Source organism: Homo sapiens, chromosome 5, assembly GCF_000001405.40.
Source record: "Homo sapiens chromosome 5, GRCh38.p14 Primary Assembly".
In the NCBI taxonomy this organism is placed as follows: Eukaryota; Metazoa; Chordata; class Mammalia; order Primates; family Hominidae; genus Homo; species Homo sapiens.
In genome coordinates this window covers 9,642,247-9,662,805 of record NC_000005.10, presented here as the reverse complement: position 1 = coordinate 9,662,805, position 20,559 = coordinate 9,642,247, and the positions used below count along the sequence as shown (strand labels likewise).

Genomic DNA, 20,559 nt, shown 5'->3' with positions numbered 1-20,559 from the left:
AATTTCTTACGGAAATGACAAAAACACTATCAATCTTCTTGTTCTTTCTTAACTGAGTTATAGTCAGAGACTATCATTTCCAGAACACGGATAGAGTTTTGGGTAGTTCCAAATGTTTGAGCTGCCTGTGACAAACTATTAGATTGATGTCACGTATGGGTGTGTGTGAGAGCATGCATGTATGTTGTGCTACCTGTTTGATCTACTTATTCTCACTTGAGCTCTCCTCTTTCAGGCACCTGTAAGAAATCACCTCCAACTCCGCTGGAGTTAGATGTGGCCATATGACTTACTTAGAGTTGGCTGGGAGTGACAACTGTCACTCCTGGATGGAAGTATTTCATTTCCTGCAGGCCACTTCTCTGACATTTTCCCCTTGGTTCTGATAACCAGCACAGCATGCTCTGCGTGGCAGAATCATCCATCACTTTGCATTTTGGAATGAGCAGTAATGGGCAGCAGAGCCCCCAGTGAACCACGATGGCCATGCAGTGGGAATAAAAATAAATCTTTGATATTTGGGGGTAATGATGGATTATTGAAATAGCAACAGATTCTTCCCACCACCGTGTGTGCCTTTTTGCAATGTGACTTATTGCTCTTCTCATCAAGGAGTAGATTTTCTTTCTCTACCCGTTTGGAATTAGGCTGGATTTGTGACTTGCTTACATCAAAGGGGACTGAGAAATGGCATGGAGGCTGTTCTGAGTAAAAGCCTTCTGAGGCTTCACAACTTCTGCTGACTGCCAGCACCCACAAGCAGGCATGTGAATGGATTTGTCTTGGACCATGCTACCCCATGGTGCGGCTACATGAGTGACCCCTGGTGAAACCAACAGAAGAACCTCTAGCCAAATCCACTCCAAACAGCTGATACACAGAACTGGGAGGGAGTAAACCTGAGCTGTTTCAGGCACTAAGTTTGGGTGGTTTGTTTGAGGCAGAGATAATGATGCAGCATAAACTAGCTTATCCTGATTGGTGCACATGTGTGTATATGTAGTATAAATCTGTGTATATGATTTACGTACACACACTGATATATGTATACATCAAATTAGTTCTTATCACCAGGCTAGATAAGGAATGTGATCTAGTTTTCGTTTTATAAACAAGGAAATTCAGATGTTCACTGAAATTCTCCTCATTTGTATCAAGATAATTTAGCAGATGGCTACATTAAAGGGATCTTAAAAATAGACTTGAGGAAATCATTCTCTAACAGTGAATTCTTCCTGTAGACAACTGATATTAGAACCAGATTGCGATGTTGGAAGATCAGTATCTATGTTTTTCTTTCCTTCATCCTGAGGCATTCCAGAATACATTTTTTCAGTCGGTGCCAGACGTGATTGAAACCACCTTTAATGTCAGAAAAGAGAGCATGCATTCACCTTCAGGATTGTGTTTAGGATTATGTCACTCCTAAATGACCCTGCTGTGATTAGTCAAGCCCAGCTAATTTGGGCTGAAATACAGCAAGGAAATCTACTGATGCTTTTAGTATAGAAAGTTTAGTATAAAAGGTTATAGAGGATTACTTTACAAAAAGAAACTGGAGTTCATGCTAAGAGGCTGTGGCTAGAAAGAACAGGATTTGTTAAAGTGGTAAGGTTTTAATTAGAAGTATAACTTGGATGAAAACTGTGCATTAGTTTTATGTTGCTGCCATAACAAATGACCAAAAATGTAGTAGGTTAAAACAACAAAAAATTATTATTTTCTAATTCTTTAAATCCAGTACAGATTTCCCTAACCTGAAATGAAGATGTTGGCAGTGCTGTGTTCCTTTCTTGAGATTCTAGGAGAAAAAGATCACCTTGTTCATTCAGGTGTTGGCAAAATTTAGTTCCTACGGGTGTAGGACTGAGGTCCCTATTTGCTTGCTGGCTGTCAAGTGAAGGCTGCCCTGAGCTCCTATAACTTTTCTCAGATCCTTGCATGTGGTTCCTACCTCACAGAACCAGCCATTTGCACTGAATCCTCATGCTGCTGTCTCTGTGATACACTTCCCTTGATTCCCCTTCCTATTTTAAGAACTCATGCAATTAGACTGGATCCACTCAGATAATCAAGGGTCATTTTTTTCCCATCTCAAGATATGTAGCCTTAATCATATCTGCAAAGTCCCTTTTGCCATGTATGGTGACATAGTCACAAGTCCTAGGGATTAAGACAGGGATATCCAAGGGGGACTGTCATTCAGCCTGCCATAGACTACCCAGAGGCACAGGATGTTTGGATGCATGGGTTTTAAGGACGTTGCGGCCATTGGGTTTCATTTCCCATGTTAGTCATCTTTTAGGTATTAGCTCAAAGAACAAACCAATTAAGAAACCTGGGCACCTTAGTGACTAGTAGGACATGTTCTATATAAGGAAGAATGAGTTCATATTTGACCCTATTTTTTATCTGTTTAGAAATATTTCAGGCCGGGCGTGGTGGCTCACGCCTGTAATCCCAGCACTTTGGGAGGCCGAGGCGGGTGGATCATGAGGTCAGGAGATTGAGACCATCCTGGCTAACACAGTGAAACCCCGTCTCTACTAAAAATACAAAAAAAAAAAAAAAAAAAAAAAATTAGCCGGGAGCGGTGGCGGGCTCCTGTAGTCCCAGCTACTTGAGAGGCTGAGGCAGGAGAATGGCATGAACCCAGGAGGCAGAGCTTGCAGTGAGCCGAGATCGCGCCACTGCACTCCAGCCTGGGCAACAGAGCCAGACGCTGTCTCAAAAAAAAAAAAAAAAAAAAGAAATATTTCAGGATTTTCCATAATGCCTTTTAATTATTCTTAAAAAATATTTTTAACTACTTCATCCTATTTAGGAACTCCTTCATAGATGAATGCTTGGTGTTATTCATTACCCAGTCTTGAGGGACTCACTGGTGAGCTCGGGGCTCAGGGAGGTGAGTCTGAATCTTGGGAGTTTAAGGGTCTTCACTGCAGTGAAGTATTTCCCCACCATCACTTTCCTGTGGTGGGGAATGGTCCTTAAGTGTAGGTGATTAGAAATTATGAGGGAGAAGTCATTAAAGCCAAATCTGTTGGTGCTATCGTGAGAGTCTTGTTCAGGCAGGGTAATATAAAATGGAATCCAGTAATAAAGTGATAATCTTCTATTAGGCCTGACCCCTTATGACCTAATAAAAATGTTCACGCCATGTGTTTTTCTTTCTAGTATCTTTAAATAGCTAACATTTCCCTCCCCTGTTTCTCATACTGCAGTAGACCTGACTGGGGAGCTAAGTGATCTCGTGTGACTCTCTATGCCTCGTTGCCACCAGCGTGGGCCATCTCCAGGGGCTCTCAAACCGATAGAAGACCTTGCGGTGTGGGAAAACAGCTCCAGAGCTTCTAAGCTGAGCGGATTGTTCCTAGTGAGGAAGGTGAAACCTGAGATCTATTATTAAATGTGGGGCTGTCATTCTTCTCCCTAGGGCAGCTGGTCTAAGTCTAGAGTGGTAGTCATAATTGGGGATGTGAAAGCATCTTTTCAGAACCCAACCTCACTAACTGCAGTCCCAGAGTCTCAAGAGAGAGGGATACTACTCATTCCCATGGGGGAGTAGTTCATGGGGTCCCTGTGCTCCCCTGGGTCACACGGGTGTAGGGTGCAATTGTCCACTTTGAGAGTCCACCAACTGGTTTTACCCATTTTCTCAGAGGTTATCAAGCATTGTGGGTATGAGTCTTGCTAGAAAGACTAGATTTATTCATTAATAACAGACAGATTTATTAAACCTGGATGCCAATTTGCTAACTTGCCACAGGGGATAAAATTTACAGGCATGACAATACTTGTATCCAAGGCAACCTCTTCTGGAAAGGCAGAGTATAGACTGAGAGCAAGGGGAGTGTGAGGATTTTGTGGAATGCTATAGTCATACTGTAACTTCTGTAACATCTGAAAATGATGCTGTAGTGATTAAAAGACCGTGTTGTGCTGTTATGGTGGTTTTACACTAAATGATATTCCTTGGTTTTGCATTTCTCTAGATTCCCAGCCGTCTTGTCATGAGAACACATTGCCTCATACTTGCTGCAATAGAGTTGAATAAGTAACAGCTTTTAAATTGGATTATCAACTCACATTGCTACCAAATACGAGCATATCAATAGCAAGTCATTTGGGGTAAATTAATTTGATCCACGGGTAACTCATCCATTATTGATTATTTACTAGATTTAATTCCAGAACATAACTGGGGTGCTTTATTGCAACACTTACAGTGTGCTGCAATCCTTGTTCCACTCAGCATGCAGCTCTCAGCCGAGCAGCACTGGCAGCACCGGTGAGCTTGTCAAAGAGGCACATTCACGGGCCCTAACACCAACTACTCTCTTGGGATGGAGTCCAGGAAACAGCTTTGAGAAATCTTTCAGGTGATTCCTTAAAGTATAAGAATCATGGTTACAACAGTTATATACATGGATTCTAGGGCTATAATGCGTGCGTTTGCATTGTAGCTATCCCACTGCAGGCTGCGTGCCCTTGGGAAAATTACTTAACCTCTCTGAGACACAGGCTCCTCATCTGTAAAATGAGATTTCATAATAATTCTTCCCTCACAGAGTTGTGAGAATTATCTGGTCAATGCATGTAAAGTGTTTTCTGAATACTACCTGGCAAATAGTCAGCACCCTGTATGTGTTAGCTACTATTATTGCTTTCATTCCAGGGGTGATAGATTGAGAATATAGAAGTATCTGTCTTAATTGCTCTGATGTGCCTAGAGCTCAGCTTCTGAAAGGTGGCGGGATGAAGGGGAGGAGCCCTGGATTTGGCAGGAAGACTGAGCCACTGTGTCAGCCCTCATCAGTTCTAAATCCTTCAACAAGTCAAGTCTGTGTGACTCTGATTTTTCCCCCAGTCAGATATGTCAGCTTTGTTGTTTAAGTTACAGTAAAATATACATAACATAAAATTTACCATTTTAATCTTTTTTCAGTGTACAGTTCAGTAACACTAAGTGCATTCACATTGTTGTGTGACAGATCTCCAGAACTCTTTTTATTTTGCAAAACAGAAACCCTGCACTCATTAAGTAACTCCCCATTCCCCACTCCCCGCCAGCCCCTGCTGACCACCATTCTACTTTCTCTAAGAATTTAACTACTCTAGGAACTTCATGTTCCTGAAATAATACAGCGTCTGTCTTCATGAGTCTGGGTTGTTTCACTCAGCTTAATGTCCTCCATGTTGTAGCATGGGTCAAAAATTTTCTCCTTTTTGAGGCTGAATATTTCATTGTATGGATATACCACACCACACCTGTCAGTTTTTCAGATCACTTTCAATCCTCTACCTAAACATCATCTTGTCTCTTGTCCTGCTGAGGCTCTATCAGGAGGAATAGTTTAGGCTGGTGAGCAAAGCAATCAGAGCTCGGTATTTTTAGTAGACAGCAAATGAAACGCTTAAGGGAAAAGGATCTAACTAAGCTAATTGCTTTAATTTTAATCCTGAGTGGAACAGACTTTTGAGATGTAGCCTATGTAAGTCAAGCTTTCAAAGCACATGGTTAGTTTTTTGGTTGTTTGAAATTACATGATTAATTGAATTAATTAAATTGAAATTAAAACTAGGAAATATCAGGATCATAAAATGAAAAGAAAAATTAAAAAAACTCATGCATAATTTCAGACCCAAAGAAGACACACTACATTTTAAGTTTCTGGAAGTTTTATTGTATATTTTGTATTGTATATATTGTATATTTAAAATTAAAATTAGATCATATTACAATTGTCTTTATTGATAGACTTTTAAATTTAACATATTGTGAATATGTTTTTATATCAATAATTGCAAGTCTATATTATATATCATCGTTAAGTTTTGAATTATATTTTATTGTAATTTATAATTTATTCAATCACTCTTAAGGTTGTTTTATCTTACAACCAATGAACAAAGAGATGCCATTAACAGGTATTCAGAGACATATTTCTGATAATTTTCTTAGAAAACATTGTTCAAGACTGAACTGCCAGGTCAAAAAAGTTAAGCATTTTTATGAGTTCTATTAAATGTTGGCAAATTACCTTCTGCAGTGGTTGATTTTATATGTCAACTTGACTGGGCCACAGGGTGCCCGGATATTTGGTTACACATTATTTCTGGATGTGTCTGTGAGGGAGTTTCTGGATGAGATTAACATTAGAATCACAGGTTGGAGTCAATCAGATTGCCCTCTCCAACGTGGCTGGGCCTCATGCAATTTTCTGAAGCCCTTAATAGTATCAAAGGCTGAGCAAGAAAGAATTATTTTTCCCTGCTTGTCTTTGAGGAAGGACATTGATCTTCTCCTGCTTTAGGAGTTAGACTCAGACTCAGAGTAGAACTTATCCCATCGGCTGCCCTGGTCTCCAGCTGGCCAGCTGCAGATCTTGGACGTAATCATGTGTGCCAATTCTTTTTGGTAAATTATTTCTCTCTACATATGCGATTGGTTCAGTTGCTCTGGAGAACTCCATCTACTACATCTTCAGAAAACATTATAACTGTTTATGCTTCTACCAGTAGTGAGTGAAAGTGCCACAACTTAAATCTTGCTGATACTCGATAATTTTCTTTAGCTTTTCCCAATTTGAAAATGCTATATTACTCAATAAAACATTCAAGGAATATTTATTAAGCACCTATATGTGCCAGGTACTGTGCTTGGTAGGCACTTGGACTGTAGCATTGCCCTTACAGAACTGATTTTGTGGGGATTGTAGGAAAACTGGATAGTAAGTGCAGTGTGATAAGTGCTCTGCTAGGGGACGTACTGAGTGGTATAGCATTGCAAAGCAGGGCTCCTATTAGCATTGAGAGTCAGGGGAAGCTACCTGAGAAGTGGTGTCCAAGTTGATAACTTGAACATTAATAAAAGTTTCCCAGGCATTGAGTTGAGAATCAGTGGTTCTGAAAAGGAAAAACAAACAAATTAAAAAAAAAAAAAAAGAGAAAACCACAGAGGCAGGAAAAAGCAGAAGCAGGGTCAGACATGGTATGTAGTTGTTTTAATTTGTATTTCCTTGATTTCTAGAGAGTCTAGACACTTTAAGACACTTATTGAGTGTGTGTTTTTTCTTGTGAATTGTTTATTCCTATATTTTGCCTGCTTTTTAAAAATCCAAATATACAGTATTTTCTACCTATTTCTATAAACCCTTTTACATTAGAGATATATTAGCCCTTGGCCCATCACACATTTAAAATTTTGTTTAAATTTTGTTTGGGGCTTATATATTTCTTTCACAAATTGCCTATTTATAACTTTTGTTCATTTTTCCTTTCAGATGTTCATCAGTTTTTCATGTTTTTTCAATTTTGAGATTTCTCTCTAAATTAATTAAATTTAATTAAACTAAACTAAGTCTCATAGTCAATGATTTTTTTCTCATTATTACTCATCTTTTATTTATAGTCTTTTTGATCCTACAGAAATTTAAATTTTGAAGTAGTTATATTTGTCAGTCTTTTCCTTTAAATGTTAAACCTTTCCCAATTAATTTTTATTGAGATACATAAGAGACTTATAAAGTTTGTACTGACAAGTTTTGGAAAATACATGCCTCATGTAACCATGATTACAATCAAAATGTAGAACATTTCTCTTCCCTGAGAAAGGGCCCTCATGTCCTGTTCTAGTTCATTCTTCCCATAAACCCTGCAGGCCTCAGGACATTCCTCTTCTGATTTCTATCACCATAGGTTAACTTGGCCTATTCTAAAACTTCCTATGAATGTAGTCATATAGTGCATTCTTTGTTGTGTCTGGCCTTCTTCCTAATGCAGTGTTTTTTTGTTTCACCCATGTTGTTACATATTTTGGGCTATTATAAATAAAGCTACTGTGAGCATTTTTATAACAGTCTTTTTGTGGGAACATGCTTTCATATTTCTTGGACAAATAACAGGAGTAGAATTGCTGGACCACAGACACAATGTATGTTTAACTTCGTAATAAGTTGGCATACTGTTTTCCAGAATAGCTGTATTATTTTCAGTCTCACCAGTAAGGAATGGAAGTTTTTATTGTTCTGTATCTTTACTAAGACTTGTTTCATATTTTAATTAATTTCCATGTAAATTCTGAGACAATGGGAACCTAACTTTATCTTTCTCTAGTGGCTTAACCACTTGTTCATATAATACTGTCTTCATCAAATAGGTCATAATTGCTCCATTGCTTTAAATACCAAAATGATTTTATGGACATTTTTTCCTTTCTGGACTATGCACTTATTCCCATGGGCTGATTATCACTTAGTTTTCATCATTGTTGCTTCATAATACACTTAGGTGTCTGACAGTGAAAGTCACTCTTTATTCTTTTTTTTTGTTCCAAAAGATTGCTGACTATTCTCATGTGTTTAATCTTGCATGGAATTCAGGATTATTTTAATTAAAATGCTATTTTTTATAAGTAAAGGAATGGTGGAAGGCTAGAGAATAAAATTACAAGATTGTTCCAGCCTTCTAAAAATTTTTGCCCAAGAAAATAACAGCACAAAATATTCTTATTCTTCTTCTTATTATTATTATTTTAAAAAAGCACTAGGTATTATTCTTACATAGAGAATGCAGGAAGAGTTTTTCAAAAATTCTTTACCTAGCTAGAGTTTATAAGTCTTTTTAATTAGAGCTTCAGGCATCATGGAAATTCCTATAGAAAGTAATTTTAAAAGTTCTCTACTTCTTGGAATCTATTTTTGGAAGGGAATTTACATTTCTTGTTAATCTGCTCCAGATATGGCTGTGACACTCTCATGGCACGCCACCAGAGCAGCTCAGCTGAGCTGTCTGACTCAGCCCTCGGCCTGACTTCATACAGTCACCTACAGATGAAGCAAGTCTGTTACCAAGAGATTATTTACTAACCACAAAGCCAGCTGTAACCTTACCTGCAGACACAGAAATCACTTGTAACCAAAAAGCTTGGTTTTAGGAGAGAGTGGTTGTGGCTCCTATCAAGCAAAGAACAGTAGATGTTGAATATTTGGGAATAGCTCTTAGTTTGAAACGAATTTTCAGATATATTCATTAAAATCTATGACAGTAAGTGATACAGTATCATGCACTTCTTTTGTTTATGTTTTCTGGAGGTTAAGATCCTAGGAAATCCAAACAGAAAGTAAGAGTGAGCAAGTATATAGAGACATTGGAATGGCTGTGCACTATGGATGGGAATGTAAAATGGTGTCGCTGCTGTGAAAAACCGTATAGTGATGATTCCTCAAAAAATTAAAAATGGAATTACCACATAATCCAGCAATCCTACTTCTGGATTTGCACTCAAAAAGCCTGACAATAGGGTCACAAACAGTTATTTGTACACCCATGTTTATAGCAGCTTTATTCACAACAACCAAAAGGTAGAAGTAAACCAAGCATCCATCAACAAATGAATGGATAAGCAAAATGTGGTCTATACATAAAATGGAACATTATTGAGCCTTAAAAAGGAAGGAAATTCTGACATATGCTACAACATTGGTGATAAAAAGGAAGGGAATTCTGACGTATGCTACAACGTGGGTGATAAAAAGGAAGGACATTCTGACGTATGTTACAACGTGGGTGATAAAAAGGAAGGACATTCTGACGTATGTTACAACTTGGGTGATTCTGAAGGACAACATGCCAAGTGAAATAAGCTAGTCACAGAAGGCAAAATACTATATAATTCCACTCGGAAAACGTATATAGAGTAGTCAAATCATAGAGACAGGAAGCAGAAAGGTGGATGCTAGCAGTTGGGGTGGGGAGTAGGAAATGGTGAGTTATTGTTTGATGGGTATAGAGCTTCAGATTCCAAAGTGAAAAACATCCTGGAGGTGGCTGATGGTAACACACACTAAAATGTGAATGTACCCAATGCCACTGAATTGTTCACTTAATGTGATTAAAATGGCAATTTTTATGATATGTGTATTTTACCACAATTAAAATAATATTTTTTAGAAAAGTAAATGCAACAGAAGAAAAATGCATATCTCATTTGCACTCACTCAAATGAGATAAGGATTACCTCTGTTGATACCATACATATGTTTATAAAAATTTGCATTGTAATCTTTTAGAAAATGAAATGCAACAGATTCTGAAAAACCATTAAAGTTCATTTTATTTGTCAGGGTATGTTAATCATAAAACAAACAAGCCCTGAATTTGAATGGATTAATACAATAAAAGCTTACTTTTCTCTCTTATTTCTGTCCATTGTGTGTGTGGTGGGGGCAGGCAGCCATGGTAAATCTCCATCCCATTATTCAGGAAGCCACATCCTTCCGTCTTGTGGCTCCCCCTCCCTATAGCTCCTTGGAATCCTCTCTACTCAGCCAGTGAAGAGGAAGAGGATGACGATAGTAACTGGGTAGTGTTTATGGGCCCAGCCCCGGAGTAGCCCACATTGATTCTAGGCATGTTCCATTGGCTGGACTTTGTCACAGAGACACACATAATCCAAGGGATCCTGGGAAGTGTTCAGCTGTGTTTCCAGGAAAAAGAGCTGCTCAGATACTCATGAGAACTGTAGGTCTCTGCCACAGACGATGTGTAGTTGGGTCCCACTAAGAGCGTATTTGGTGAACGTCTTTCTGGAAAGTTCAGTGATCTTCCTAGCAGTGGGAATTGTGTAAGAAAGATATGTCTCATGGGATGCAGAGAGATACTATGTCTCCATGATCAGTCCCATCTCCTAACATGATAATATGTAGTCATGTGAATATACATATAATGATTTCAATAACCCACATTTTGATCTGAAAATATATTACCTCAGCAACAGACCTCTAAATTTCCTTCTGACACTCATGCAGAGTGACTTTTATAGTGACAGTCATGACAAAAATCAGATCAAGTTCATAGACATGATGAATGGAACAGTGATGTGTGCCACTGGTACAGATGGGGAGATGGACGCCCAGCCGCTCAGGGCTTGTTGGTGGGCTGAAGATGACTTTCCCATCTCAGATGCTTGGCACTGAAGTGGAATGGGAATGAATGGAGGGCTTAGAACGCTACTGAGTGGCAGTCAGAGCTTTGGTGAGTCATAAGTTGCTTCTGGTCTCCGGAGTGTTCTTCATTCTCATACCCTCACCAAGGATGCTCAAGATCTACACAAAGCTGGAGCTGCACTCACTCAAATGAGATGGATTTACCTCTATTGATATCATACATATGTTTATAAAAATTTGAGTCGTACTCTTTTAGAAAATGAAAGCTTTAAAATCTGTTATGGATTTCTCCATTAAATATGCTTATATTAACATGAAAAAAATCTTTGGGAATATGAATCATCATTTCTCAATTTATCTTCTTTGTCAGATCAGTATTTAGCGTATTAGGTGTTCTTAAGTAACACTCATATTATTGGACTATGTCACATTTTTCTTCTGGAAAGTCTTTTGTTGCCTATTTCTGGTTTGGCTATGTCTCTCCAACCCAAGCCCGCAACTCCCTTCATAGTAGAAAGTATTTAAATAATTACCCCATCATTTAAAACATAAGTCACTGCACAGATTTATGTTAATTAGATTTAATACCACAATGAGGATTAATCCAGTGATGTATATGTGAAACGTAATATCATCCCTCCCCAGGACTGCCAAATCGATCACCTTGAGAGCATCTGTCTGAAAGGAGCTGATGACAGAATATGTTCAATTTTTCCATTTGGAATTTCTCCACACCACAGCACAGTCTTTTGAAACTTTTTATACTCTGAGTCTGTCAGAAGCAGGTAGAAGAAATCTTAATACTTTCTAAGTGTTCAGAACAATAGCCATTTCATGAATTACTTCCCTGCCAATCTTCAGGTTGCATTCTCTGGTGGACCTTTCTGCAGTGTCATTGATCAGCAGTTGTATTTTTATTTTAAACATTTAATTATACATTCATTCCATAAAAATTTGTGAGCACCCACCATGTGCCAAGCACCATCTAGTTACTGGGTATATAGCAGCGAAGAAAAATAGTTTATGTTCTAATGGAACTTTATATTCTAGGAAGAGGGACAGAAAATATGTTGGATAGTAGTAAGTACTAACCAAATAAGGAGAACAGAGCAGTGGAAAGGGATGAGGAGAATGCTGGTGATGTGGGGTGTGATAATCGGACCAAGTCTTTTGTGATGAAGTGAAATTTAAATAGAGATGAATTAGGAGAGGTCATGAATCCATGTGATTCTGGAAGAAGGAATGTTCTAAGTATGTTAGACTTCAGACTTCACGGACAGCATATGTGCACACCACCAGGTCCACCCTGGCCTTGGTGTGCTGTGTCCAACAAAGCCCAACATAATATTAGAGGCATAGAGTTGTGTAATCCCCAATGTAGTAGGTCTGTAGCTACATAGAGAATCCAGGTAACACTGTAGAAATGGGTCTGTCCGTCCTACATAGCCGGGAGTGTATAGAAAATGCACCACACACACACACAGTTTTTATTGTGCCCACCCCTCCTGCACACCCTTTTTTCCCCAGCATTCAGGGGCAAATGCAGAGGCTGGTTTAGGAAAAAAAAAATTCTTTAATTTTGAAAAAAGTTTCCTTTGGCAAAGGCAACCACAAACAAATCCAGCAAGTACGTAAGATTATATCTCTTAAGCAACGTTAGAATATATTGTTTTCTATCATCTTAGAATACAAATTTTTCTATTGTATTCTTTATTTGTAAATCTTGAGCAAGAATTGTCTCTAAAAGTTTTTGGAAATCACTAAATGTCTTTTATTCTTCTACTACTAATTTTATTTTTTATATTAAAATTTCCAGGGCCAATTCCAGACTATATAACAATCTCCCTTTGTGCTGTAAACTGCTTATAATTAAGTTGGCTTTTTAATTGGAAATTTACCTGCAGACCAGTATACCTGGTTTAAAATAGACAGGCACATTTGTTAAGTATTCTCAGTTTTGGAAAAGTAATAAATGCCTATTATTTTAAAAATGTAGCCTCTCAAAACCTTTTCCCCCAAATGACAGATATTAACTCATCTGTTTGTCATGAATCTAACTTTAATAAAATTTTCTTCTCCTTGAAGCTATTGACAAAAGTGGATGCACTTTGCATAGTCTGACCTCTTAAATAACAAATGCAAAACAAATGTAAATATGCCTCCACTTTTAATGCATTTTTGCATGGTCCAGAACAATTTGCTAAAACATGCATGGGCATATTTGTGTTTCATTAAAATCCACATTTGAGATAACATGCCCTTGGACATGTTATTGCTGACTTTTTATTGAATTATAGGAAATTGGGGAAATAGAAGCTGATAATGCTACATTCCAAAGAGGTTGTAGGAAAGCCATTGCTCAGGAGTATTTTGAAAAGATAAGATGTAGCTGGAGTCTCCCTGTGCAACTACAATGAGGTCATACAATTAAAGATGCAAACTTCTGCACAAATATTTTGCAAATACTTCCAACTTTTACTAAATATTTTCTTGTCTATATAACATTTGCCACATTATGGCCAAAAGAAATAGTGGCAGATAACTTATTTCAAATGCAATTGTGATCAGTTCTTTGAATACAGCTCTTAGCTTTCAGAAACATTCTGCTGATCTCACACACTGCTAGTGGTACACATGAATTCCATGCATGACTTTTGGTAGCTTCCCGGTTTTGTTCGGTGGACAAAAAAATACAATGCCAAAGATCTGGGTGTATCATAATTCTGAGGACATTTGATAAACGAAGTCAGGTTAAGGTTGTTGTTAGTTGTAAAATACCTCCTCTGCAACTTTGGTCAGGTTTGTTTTTGATGTTGACCCTCGGAATTAAGCAAGTGTTTCTAGTTCTCTTTCAACAATTAGCAATTGTGGACCTCAGGTCAAACTCACTTTAAGCACTGCCAGATAAAAGAGTGTTAAGTCAGATTTTGCAATGAGCAAAAGGAAGAGGGGCTTTCCAGATGAGAAAAGTTGGAGACAGAGCTTCTCGAAGGATGCCTGGGCACCGACCCTGCCTTCTTCCTCTTCATGAGCCTGTGGCCTTGCTGTGGCTGTATTTGGCTTGAGGTCCATATGTATCCAAAAGGTCACTGGTCGGCCATGATATTTCTAGTTAAGGGCCAAGATTGTTAGTATAGAGTCTATACGTCCCTAGCTACCCCCCACCCCCGAAAAAAATGATGGAGATCCTGTAAGGGATTATTGAGTTTTTCATTTCGACAGTACCATGTATTGCAAAGAAAGTATCATTCCTTGCTGCTATCTCCCAGTATGAATGAATGTGGGGCCACTGGACACCGAGCTGAGGGATGTGGCCTCTGCTTCTGCTTGGGGTAACTACCTCATGTTCCCCACGATTCAGAGACCTTGACTCAGTGCATTGGGATCTTCATCTAACCTTACAGAAGACATTCATATGTCCTCTTCTTGTCAAATTTCAGGCCACCTGAAATGATGCAGGAACAATGCAGATCTGTTATATTGTCAATTTGATAGATTGGAAAAAAGGCATAAAAACAGATTTCTTAGTTTTAAGTTATTTATTTAAAAACTATTTAAAAGCTTTATTTATTCATTTAAAATTTTTATTTACTTAAAAGTTACCAAAATGCAACTTAAATGTTGAGGCCTGAAATGCATTAATTACAAGTCCCTATAATTAAGATCACATTTTTCTCTTGCATGTTGAAGTATTCTCTCCCCAATCCATACTGCTGTGTAGCCATGGCCACACTTACTTTCTCCATTTTAGATCAAAGAATGATGCATTTTGAATATAGCTGACAATAGTTGCTTTTGAGATACATTTGATCTCATCCTGTTTTATGGCCAAAAGTACTTTTTTCATGGTTATGTGAATTCTTAGGAGGAAGTAAGCTTTGTGAATCACTATGTTAAGTCGAACTAGAAAAATAAAGTTGACTAAAAGCCCCACCATGAATTGCTTGTTAACATTATTCAAATTTCTTCCTCTTCAGTAGAATCTATGATTATCTAAATGATGTTTCATGCCAGGCAGGGAGAATAGATAATAAATTCATATTATGTACTTAACGATAACAAGACAACATTCAGATTTGTGAATAATTGAGAAAGAATATTTCATAAAATGAATCTTCTATATTATCATGGCGTCTATCTGTAGAAAGTCTGATGTATACAAGAATAAATATTAATGTCTACAGAAAATTATAACTAAAAGTTTCCCTTATATTTCCCTTTCTAATATACTACTATTGTAATTTAAAATATATTGGACCAATTTTGCTCTATTCACGTGGCTGGAGGACCTTGAGTACCATTGCTAAATGTTTTTTACTTTTCTCACATTTTGAGGAGGAGGTGCAGACTCCTATATCTAGGTTTTTCAGTCAACTGTGGTGAGATTCAAATGTATGTATGTGGGGTTTGCACAGCTCTCCTCAAAAGCATGGTCACTAGCCTTGCCTTGGGGTGATAACAGCTGCCACTGTGGATAACATCCACCCACTGAGTTGGACTATGCTTCTGTGGAGGCTGTGCTGGTCAAAACTAAAGCAAATAAATCCACAATATTCTTTTTTCTAGAATGCAAGACATCTGAATAGTCCTTGGGTCAAGGTACAGGGTCTTATGCATCTTTGTTGGGATTCTATTTTCTCTTTTCACATATGGTAAGGAGTTGGCACAAATAATCATTAATATCCTTTACAGATCTGATTTGATGTGGTTCTGTATTAAGTTTACTGTATTGAATTTAAAAAGCCGAGTTCATGGTTTTTCATTTCCTCTGAGTCAGTGAGATTCATGCCATATCATTGTCACAGTCCCTATCCTTTACCCCACTTATTTGCTACAAATGTCCACAAATATGGGTAGATGGAATAATATTTTATACGCTATGACAAATATTACATAGTTTGCATAGTAATAGTTTGGCTAGCAATGACTTCCTAAAGATGAGAAATTGTATTCATTTGTTTTCATTGTTAGTTCAGCAGCTGTTTCTAGAGCATCCCTATCTTTACCCACACATTTATGTCTATTCCTGGGTGCAAGAGATAGCTTCAGTTTCCCCAAAACACATGAACTAAGTAACCACAAAGGCTGGTCCCACATTCTGGAAAATCAAAGCAAGGCACAACAATTTTGGTCTTCTGGAAGCTGGCAATCCTGTATCTGGAGACAGCTGCTTTGAAGGGGAGAGGCAGCAGCAAGACCCAGGGCAGCTTCTATATATGAAAATCTGAAATACCCAGTTCTATCCTTGCGAGGTAATTTGTAAGGAAGTATTGTATCTTTGAAGGGCAGGAAAAATAAATTTGACTCCTACGACAAAAGAGAACCATTTGAGTTTGGACCAGGGCAGAAATGGCACTGCTTGTTTCAAGAGCACACATTATCATCTTCCATGTGTCCAATCCAATGGTTGTGCAGCCACATATATGCAAATTCATATGAAAATATATTTGACCATGCATCTTTTGAACAAAGTATAGCCAGTCAATGCCAAAGACATTCTGTTCGGTTTGGAATGAATAAAACTTCTGATGCCCATATGGTAACCTTATGCTTTGAGAACTCTTCTATAGCACAATAAAATCTGAGCCGTCAGAGTAACTAAGTGATGGAAAATGAATAACTAAATGTATAGGGAAAGAATCCAGAAAAGAAATTTGTATTTTATTTTTTCTAAGTAACTTCCACAGATATGTTTGAGAAAACTGTATGATCTAGTGAATAGAATACTCAAAACTCTAATATACAAGTCACAGGTATGGGCCCTAGTTACTTCACTAAATGACTGGCTTTAGGCAGATAATTTGTCTGGTTCCAGTTACTAACTATGAGAAATAGAAAATACATCATTACCTTTCTATAATAGTCCACAACTATTTCAGCACACCCAATGTGACAAAAAACCGTCTCAAGCCCACTTCAGTAACAACTGAGAATTTGTGGGTTCATTTAAATGTCAAGGCCAGCAGTAAGTGAGGGCTGGTTCTGAGGCTGACATATTCTGAGGAGAACATGGTCTTGCTTTCTCTTTTCTGGGCACTTTTGTCCTCTGGATGGAATCCATTCTTGGGCAGGCTGAAGTCCTTCTCTCATGGTGGCAAGATGGATATGCCAGGCAACCATCCTGTCTGCAGAGAGCCTGCCCAGTGAGAAGTTTTGGGATTAGTTCTGACTTGATGAATTTGGGTCTCATGTTTATCCCTGGATATATCTCTTTTGCTCAGGTGAATGGATATGTTGACTGCCACACCTGGGTTTCTGTGACTACTCCTGGATTCAGTGATGGAGTCAGCCCCAAGTAAGGCCCATAAACAAGGGTGGAGGAGAGTGGTTCCTGGAAAGAAAGTCAGGGTAAAGGCAAGGGGACAAATGCCAGATGGGCAGTAAATGGCAGCTGTCCAAATTTTATGCCTGAACCACTGAAAGGAATCTTCACTCTCACTGTGGGTATTAACATAGGACGCGGTGATGCTTAATGGCTAAATGCACGCATAGCATTTGAAATCAGATTGTGGTCCACAACTTGGAAATGCTGCTTTTTAGCTGCATGACTGAGGGCAATTTCCAGACCTCAGTGCACCTCAACTTAATAATCTCTAAAGTGGAAAGAATACTGATTTCATAAAATTGTCAAGAGGACAAATTGATGTTATGCCTTTCAATTGTTTAGCGTTGTAAGCACTAAATGATTGGTAAGTATTCTGCCTCTTCCCAAATGCCTCTGGCACCAGAATTTCTCACTGTGAATTCTTTCCATCCAACAAATAAACAGATAATTCCCATGTTATTTAATTTGTTCTGGTGCATAGAAATAAGAAAAGCTTAACAATCTTTTGATAAATCCAGCATAACATAGATAATCAAATTTATTAAATATAGCACCAATAAAAATCTGCAGACCAATCTTCCTTAGAAGGAGGAAAAATTCTAAATGAAACAGCAAATAAAATCAGCCATACATAAAGAGATTAGGAAACCATGACTAGTACTAGTTCCACAATTGCTTTCAGTAATGCAAGCTCTGACTCACCTACTCTGCTCTCGTCAGGGCATCCTTCCACAAAGAGATGGCATCAGACAGGACAATCGAAGTGACACGAATGCACAAAATGTGGTTTCTTATTTACAGTGCTCAGATACTCCAGCTGGCAATCTCATCCCTACATAATCTTAACCAACCTCATGGCTTTCAATATCCTCTATATGCTAGCAAATTCCAAATGCATATTTCCAAACTTGATAGTTCCCACAAACTCCAAACTTACCATCCATGACATAATATCATCTCTACCTGCAGTAGCCGTCTCAGGAGCATGTCCACACAGAGCTCTTGATTTTAACCTTCCTTCAACCTTCTCCTTCTTGAAAAATGGCTCCATTGCTCACCAGGGGATAATGCCAATGACCCAAGAGTATTTCTTGATTCCTCTCTTTCCCTCACTCCCCATCAAAGCCAACTGAATTTCCTGTTGGTGTTGCCATCAAAATCTATTCCTCGTCCAGCCACTTCTTCCCATCTTGACCACCAACCTAATTTAAGCTAACAACATGCCTTGCCTGGTCTACTGCAACAGCCTTTAGTTGTTATTTCTACTTCCACACTTGCCTTCTCCCAACCTCCACATATGTTCTCCAGAGTAAATGCCTTTCTTTAAATAACAGCAGTCAGAGTAAATGTTGTAGGATATAAATGTGATTATAACAAAGCTTCCCCCTCACCCAAACACTTCAATGGGTTCCCATTCAGTTGAGGGTGAGATGCAGTCTCCATGCCTTCCCCTCTAACTTCCTCTCTGCTCTGCCTTATTCATACTGCCCCACACATTGCAGGGTTGCTGGGCATTGTTTATTCCTGGAATGCTGCAAGCTCTTTTATTGATGGGATGGGGAGTGAGGATACTATTTCCTCCTCTCTCTGCCTGAAGTGTTCATTCCCAGATCTTCCATCCAGGTCTTTTATCACCTCCTCTCTGGGGAGGTCAGGCTTTCCTGACCACACTTTCTAAAATAGCACCTCTTTCTACTTTACCTGGAATTATTTATTTCTTCACTTGTTTAACTCTCCTCTTCCCCACTACAGTGTGATTTCCAAGATGACAGAAGCTTTGTCTTGTTCATTACTACAGTCGTGCACCATATAACAACATTTACATCAACAGTGGACTGCATATACAATGGTGGTTCCATGAGATTTTAATGGAGTTGAAAAATTCCTATCAGCTAGTGACATCAAAGCCATTGTATTGTCCTAGCACAATTACTTTATTTTTTATGAATTTAGAGTAGCCTAAGTGTATAATGTTTATAAAGTGTATAGTAGGGTAATGTCCTACGCCTTCACATTCACTCACCTCTCACTCACTGACTTACCCAGAGCAACTTCCGGTCCTGCAAGCTCCATTCATGGTAATTGCCCTACACACATATGACATTTTTCAACTTTTGTACCCTATTTTTACTGTACTTTTTCTATGTTTAGCTACACAAATAATAAATAATTACCACTGTGTTATAACTGCCTACAGCATTCAGGACAGTAACATGTTGTACAGATTTGTAGCCTAGGAGCAAAATAATGGACTATACCATACAGCCTAAGTGTGTAGTAGGCTATACCATCTAGGTTTGTGTAAGTGCACTCTATGATGTTTGCACAGTGATGGAATTGTCTATCGATTACTTTCTTACAGTGTATCCCCTATCCCTGTGATTAAGCAGTGCATGGCTGTAAATGCTGTGTGCTTAGAACAGTGCCTAGTTCATAATACAAACAATAAGTGTGTGCTGGGGTATGGGAGGGAAGGAGGAAGAGAGGAAGGATAAAGAGGAAGGGAGGGAAGAAGGAAAAAGGAAAGAAAGGAAAGAAGGAGGGAGGAAAGAAGGAAAAAGGAAAGAAGGGAAAGAAAGAGAGAAGGAGGGAGGGAAGAAGCAAGGAAGGATTTGAAATTCCACGGAGGAACTCAGTTTAGAGCTGAAGACAAAATCGTGAGGACTAGAGACTATTCCCATGATTCAACTGCAGCATCTGTGGCTTCTGTTTCCTCATTGTAACTAACAAGGGATTCTTGTTTGTAAAGCACTTTGAGTTCTTTATGTGGAAGACTTAAATTCAATGTATTGCATTGCTCCATTATTCTATTTGCTGCATTGCAAATACATCTCAGAATATTGAGTGGAGTAAGAAAAAGCACAGAAATATATTACTAGAATAAATTGAGCAAGGGAAGGGACAAGTATATGAAAGTGACCTGAATATTAAAGACAAAAATTTTAGTCTAAAAGATCAACTGCAAATTCAAGTGGAGAGAAGCAAATGAATGGATCTGAAGAATGATTAGCCTGAAAGAATCTGGTGCTTTTTAACCAAGACGTTGTGAATTTTAAATGAAATAAATTCCAAATAGGCTTTACAAGGGCCGAGCTCTGCTATCGGGAAGATTCAGAAAGGATGTCTGGGTTGGTTTGCTCAGAGTCTATTTCTTCCTTATTTGAATGATCTTATTAAATATACAACAATGTTAATACATGCACATGTTTCTTAAAGCAGGAATTGTTCCCTTGATAATGAAGTGTGAGGGCCCACTTGGGAAAGGTATTAAAACCACCACTCACT

At 38.3% G+C, this 20,559-nt stretch overlaps 1 protein-coding gene and 1 long non-coding RNA gene across 2 annotated transcripts in view; both read left to right on the top strand.

Annotated features, from left to right (window-relative positions):
* The window catches only part of TAS2R1 (taste 2 receptor member 1), a 276,530-nt gene that overhangs the window by 241,071 nt on the left and 14,900 nt on the right, over positions 1-20,559 (top strand). Inside the window, exon 9 of the mRNA NM_001386348.1 lies at positions 3,225-3,385. The gene's annotated coding sequence lies outside the window, so the exon portion shown is untranslated. The remainder of the gene's footprint in view (positions 1-3,224; positions 3,386-20,559) is intronic.
* The window catches only part of LINC02112 (long intergenic non-protein coding RNA 2112), a 262,510-nt gene that overhangs the window by 241,019 nt on the left and 932 nt on the right, over positions 1-20,559 (top strand). The window contains exons 10-11 of the long non-coding RNA NR_027112.2: positions 2,825-2,905; positions 3,225-3,385. This is a non-coding gene — a long non-coding RNA (long intergenic non-protein coding RNA 2112). The remainder of the gene's footprint in view (positions 1-2,824; positions 2,906-3,224; positions 3,386-20,559) is intronic.